Source organism: Homo sapiens, chromosome 5 (assembly GCF_000001405.40).
Source record: "Homo sapiens chromosome 5, GRCh38.p14 Primary Assembly".
Classification (NCBI taxonomy): Eukaryota; Metazoa; Chordata; class Mammalia; order Primates; family Hominidae; genus Homo; species Homo sapiens.
Window position 1 is genome coordinate 68,406,167 of NC_000005.10, and position 6,353 is coordinate 68,412,519.

General features: G+C 38.4%; 2 annotated features.

The window, feature by feature from the left end:
* Positions 577 to 626: an enhancer, noted in NCBI's record as "active region_22631". NCBI's record gives its function as "activates an Ori minimal core promoter by ATAC-STARR-seq in GM12878 lymphoblastoid cells {active_cell/tissue: GM12878}" and the evidence as "EXISTENCE:reporter gene assay evidence [ECO:0000049][PMID:35858748]".
* Positions 3,116 to 3,410: an enhancer, noted in NCBI's record as "tiled region #5177; K562 Activating DNase matched - State 8:EnhW". NCBI's record gives its function as "activates a minimal TATA promoter and a strong SV40 promoter by Sharpr-MPRA in K562 cells {active_cell/tissue: K562}" and the evidence as "EXISTENCE:reporter gene assay evidence [ECO:0000049][PMID:27701403]".

Sequence of the window (6,353 nt, forward strand, 5' to 3'; positions counted from 1 at the left end):
TGAGCAAGATTTTTCAGTTAGATAATGGACAATATTTCAAAGTTTTAAAATGCAAAATGCAGACTATTATAATCATCAAGCTATCAACTGGCACCACTATCTAGCCCAGTGTTTTCCAAACTGCAGGGTTGCAACTGATTAATAGGTTGTGAAATCAGTTGAGTGGGTTGTTAGTAGCCTTAAAAAATGTACAGAAAATATAAAAGGGCTGCTCATGTGTTAATTACAAGTATTGTTTCAGGAAACTTTCATTGCAGAGGTATACAGGTGTGTGTGTGTGTGTGTGTGTGTGTGTATTCTGAGTCATAATGTAAAATGTACTCATATACTTTTTACTGTGGTTGGAATCTAAAACGTTTGAATGCCATTGATCTGGCCCATATTTTTCACAGCAGACAGATGTCTTTCTAAAATTAAGATAAAGCCAGGGCCAGCTTCATGGGTGTGATACCTGTTCCATCGATCAGTGCAGTTGCACAAGGCTCTGCACTTGCAAGGGCCCACACTTGGTTTAATGCTCTTCTGTCACCACTGTAGGATTCTTAATAATTCTATCTGAGTATTTATGTGAGCAGAGAAGATCTACCAGACAGCAGTGAGCACTCACAATTGCGATCCAGCAGCAGCTGTGCCAAGCACAGCAAGCTGCATGCTCCAGCAATTGGCCTGTTTGTCCAGCACATGAGTAGCCTCCAGGCAGTCCAGGGCACCGAGGGGTCAAAGGGGTTGGCTGGGGCTCGACTTAGGCCCAGATTCATGTCATCAACAGCAGCAGCAAAAGTATCTGCACAACGGGTCACAGCCCCGGGAGAAAGGAGAAGCTTCACCTGGGGACAGGATGGGGACCCGTGACGGGAGGCTAGCTTGTCTGTCTGACCACGCCTTGCCTACACAAATATTAACTCTTCCACTTCTTAATGCTGAAACAGGAACTGCCAGTGTGAAAGCAGTAAACTCTGAGAGTAAGTTTTTACAAAACAAAAGTGAACACAGGAACATAAAGCACATCAGGGAGTTACAGGAATTCTTCAAAGCATTTAGAATCTTTGGTTTTAAAAACTGCCACCACAACATTACAAAGCAAATCTCTATAGAGATTTAGCAAAGAAATAGAACAGAAATATTATAGTGTTAAATGAGAAAAACAAACAAGCAAACAAACCAACCAGCCACTATTTTCACATGACACTTTAGATGAACCAATTATTAATGAAGAAAGCAATTTTAATACTAAAAATTTCCTTGTAATTGAAGATATGGCAACAGAATGCATAAGTATGTGTTTTCATTCATATACAAATCATGAAGTAACTTGTGGTTTCTTATACGACCTCCACAGGTTTACAGGAAATGTCAGAGGAAACGTTTAAAGGCCATTGTATAAATTTACATACATAATTAAATTTAAACTTACACAGAACTAATATATATGAAGAGTTAAATCATTTTAGAAAAAATATTCTAGAAAATCAGTTCCAGATGTGTTAAACAATTTATATTTTGAAATTATCAGAAAGTGATGCTTATGTTATCATAGCCTATAAAGAACTCTTAACTCCAGTTAGTTGTATCCAGATTCTTCTTAAAATTAAAAATTATCAAAAATTCTTTTTAATCTTGAATTTGTCAAGATGACATCATTTTCAATATACTTTAAAATGAAGTTACTGAAAGTATAAATTTGATAATGTATTAGTCCATTTTCACACGGATATGAAGAACTTCCCAAGACTGGATAATTTATAAAGGAAAGAGGTTAATTGACTCACAGTTCTGAAGGGCTGGGGAGGCCTCAGGAAACTTACAATAATGGTGGAAGGGGAAGCAAATACATCCTTCTTCACATGACGGCAGGAAAGTGAAGTGCCGAGTAAAGTGGGGAAAAGCCCCTTATAAAACCAACAGATCTCATGAGAACTCACTCACTCTCACAAGAACAGCACTGGGGGTCCACCCCCATGATCTAATTATCTCCCACAAGGCCCCTCCCCCAACACGTGGGGCTTACAATTTAGATTAAAATTCAAGATGAGATTTGGGTGGGGGCACAGAGCCAGCCCATATTAGATGACTTAATAAATTTGCAAGAAAGTGAGCCAAAAACATCTTGTAAGCAGTCAAAATATTAATTTATTAAATTACCTTCTAATTCTGATTAATTTGTTGTATTTATTGATTATATAAAATTAAGGCACCAAAAATACTTTTTTCAATTTGTAAGTTTGTGTTGTTACTCATGTATCAGTTACTCCTATGTTTTGCAAGTAAAATATTTTATAGGAAAAAGCTTTATACTTTAGAACTTTGGCAGGATTCTCCTCCCCGCCCCCTTCAATAAGCTGGTCTTTTTTTTTTTTTTTTTTTTTTTTGAGATAGGGTTTTACTCTGTCACCCAGGCTGGAGTGCAGTGGTACAATAATGGCTCCCTGCAGCCTGGAACTCCTGGGCTGAAGTGATTCTCTGACTGCAGCCTCCTGAGTAGCTGGGATTATAGTCATGAGCCACTGTGCTCGGCTATAATGACACTTCCTGTTTTTTGAATATGAGTCCTACATTTGCATTTTGCATTAAGCCCTGCAAATTGTATAGCTGGCCCTGAATACAAAATTGCATTTAAGTCAACAAATTATACTGAGTTGCTAATTTTACCCAGAAATATGCGAATTGATCAAGAAGAAACAGGATAAACAACTTTCAAGGGCCTCATGTTCTAGGATTCTAAGTAATTTTAATATGTGGCAGGATCTAAGGATCATATAAGAAATGAAGGTTATGGGAGTGTTTAGATAGCTTAAATTAATTGTTTTATTTATGACCTCCTAGGATTATTAAGTACCTTTGTGGGATAACTCTAATATTTATCATCTAAATTCTGACTTCATCAGGAGTTTTAGGCCTGGGTCCCAGTTTCCATTCACCTGCATTCCCAGTCAATTTGCAATTGTGTGGTTGGTTGTGTCAGAAAGGACAATGCCCTTATTGAGCCCTTCTCCATTACCAATAGAATGAAGACAAATTGTAGAATAAGTTCAGATCTGGCCTATTCTATGCTTCAATAATAGGTGTATGATATGCTATTTGATACCCTTCCATTTAATGTCATCAGAAGTTTGGAAGTGTCCTCAGGTCCAGTTCATGCATCACTCTAGGTCTATTCACTTTCCTTGATTTTGGCCTTGAGTGGAGCAAAAGCTTGTGCTCATGGAGCCCAGTCATTGCTGCCTCAGCCTTGACTGCAGGCTGCTTCATTGACTGCTCCCCCAGGCCTGCAAATGACTCAAGGACACACCCCAACAGCACCATACTTCAGTCCACGCTTCAAGCCTCTTGCCTCATGTTCTAGGAATTTTCTGTTGCTTCTGAGACATGAGATGCCTTGGACCCACTTGGCATCCATGTAACCGCAACCTAAAAAGTACAGGCAAGTTAAATATCCTTTGGAACAACGTTTACCAGTGGGGCCAGGAATTAGCAGAGAAATTCTCCCTACCTTCTGTCGAATGAGGTATTCAGAGATGAAGTATCTTTGTACAGTTTTTCTGAAAACATTCTGAGACCAAGCAGTTTTCTGGGAGCTATGGGCAGCTCAGTAGGGGTTTTACTTCTAAGTGAAATGAATAAAATTGATGACTTAATACATTTGCAAGAAAGTAAGCCAAAAACATCTTGTAAGCCATCAAAATATTCTATTGATATTAAAAATTATATTAATAGAACTTCTATTCCACTAATACATGCTTTTGGCTCAGGCTTGGCTTTTTAGGGAATGTGGGCTGAGATATTAATATGCTACAGTGGTATTTCTGACATGAACACTTCAGAAGCAGCATGGAAACTGACTGAAAGCAAAGACTCAAGCCAGATTGCTTGCGTTTGAATCCCAGCTCTTCCATTCAGCCCCTGTGTGACATGGAGTCCGTCACTCATTCTCCTTTTCTCCGTTTCAATTACCTCACATAAATACATTATACCTTCTTCAATTTGTGTCACAGGCTTGTCTAAGCATTCTCATGTATTTACTCTCACTTTTGAGAATTAAGTATATAATTCTGAGAGACGTGACAGAGAAGATGAAAAGGTAATTAAAATTAAACAATGAAAAGATGTTGAATTCCCAAGTGGTTGGAAATTCCAGCACTAAGTCGTTAATAGTGATTTCATCTACTTCCTGCCTACCTGAGCCACATTCAGCTCCTTGTTCTCCATCCTCATTCTAACCCCCTTTTGCAATCTGCTCATGTCTCTTCTACCTTGAGCACTCTTTCCTCCAATATACTTGCCTCCTTTCTCCCTAGCCCTACACATTGCCAAACTCCTTTTTATTGCACAGATCTCTGTTTATATATCACTTGGGAACTCTCCTAATCTCCAGAATCAGGAGGCAGTCCCCTTGCACATATTCCCATTGTAACCAACATATTTCTTACTTCTCTATCAGAAAAGCCAGCTCACTGTATTTTTTGTTTATTATTGAATCTCAACATAATTTTTAGTTCTTGGCCCACAGTAGGTGTTCAATAAAAACTGATAAGTTATAGCTTTATTTATTTTTTTAAAATAGATTTTCAGAGCAGTTTTGGTTCACTGAAAATTGAGTGAAAGGAACAGATATTTACCATATACTCCATATCTCCACACATATATGGCTTCTCCCACTGCCAACATCTGTGCCTATATTTGTTAAAACTGATGAACCCACATTGGCATGTCATTATCCCCCAAAGTTCACAGTTTACATCAAGATTCACTCTTGGTATTGTATATTCTATGGGTTTAGACAAACATATAATGATATGTATCCACCATTATAGTATCAAAGTAGATACAGAATAGCTTCATTGCCAAAAAATTCTCTGTGCTCTGCCTATTCATCCTTCCCCCAACCCCTGGCAACCACTGATCTTTATACTGTCTCCATAATTTTGCCTTTTCCAGAATGTCATGGTGCTGGAATTATATAGCATGCAGGATTTTCAGATTGGCTTATTTCACTCAGTAATATGCATTTAAGTTTCCTCCATGTCTTTTCATGGCTTGATAGCTCATTACTTTTTAGCGCTGAATAATATTCCAGCGTCTGGATGCACCACAGTTTTTTTTTTACCCATTCACCTACTGAAGGACGTCTTAGTTGCTTCCAAGTTTTGGTAATTATGAATAAAGCTGCTATAAATATTCCTGTGCAGGTTTTTGTGTAGACATAAGTTACCAAGGAGCATGATGCTGGACCATATGGTAAGAGTATGTTTAGTTCTGTAAGAAACTGCCAAACTGCCTTCCAAAGTGGCTGTGCCATTTTGCATCCCCACCAGCAACGAATAAGAGTGCCTGCTGCTTCCTTCACATCCTCACCAACATTTGATATGGTTAATGTTTTGAGTTTTGATCATTCTAATACGTGTATAGATAAAAAATTATTTTTATTGCCCATAATTTCTAATATTTATATTTTAAATATTTATATTTTCACAGAAGGCCTATTTTGCTACAGAACAGCATACTAGTGCAAGTAGAAAATTCACAAATGTATCATGAATAGTTCAGGAATCTGCAAGGCAAGGTCTAATGAATGACATAGATAGGTGCATACACTGTCACTAACATTAATCACCCACTCAGGATTCTTAAGCTAGAGTATTCATTTCCTAGAAAATAACGGGGAATAGGGCAGGCTGAGAGCAAAGGGCCCATTTCTGAAGTCTCTGAACACGTATTTATACAGACGGGTCCTCAGACAGCACTGTGATACTAAACTCACTCCATGGCAGAGTGGCCATTATTGTCACTTAGGCCATGTGGTCCTCTATTCCAGAATATTTCAAGGAACATTTTATGCTTTTATCAGATATGAGTTAGCTGTGCATATCGGAAATTTAATTCAAGTAGACAACGCTTTCATATACTCTGGCTTTGAACCAAGGAGTCAGTCACTAATGGCAGTTATACTCAAAAAGCTATCATCAAACCTAAACACTTGAAACTCAGAGCTAAATGTATATATTTGCACTAAGATTTTCTCTTCGTCATTGGGCTTTTATTTTGGAGGGTTTCCTCAATAACATCTTCTCAAAATAACCTCCCTCCCTAGAATCTTCTCTAAAACAAAGCAGCACTGGTGTTTGATGTCATTTTAAAAATCGCATTATACCCTTAGGATCTTGTCATCACATTTTTTTTTTTTTTTTGAGACGGAGTCTTGCTCTGTTTCCCAGGCTGGCGTGCAGTGGCGTGATCTTGGCTCACTGCAAGCTCCACCTCCCAGGTTCACGCCATTCTCCTGCCTCAGCCTCCCAAGTAGCTGGGACTACAGGCACCCGCCACCACGCCCGGCTAATTTTTTTATATTTTTAGCA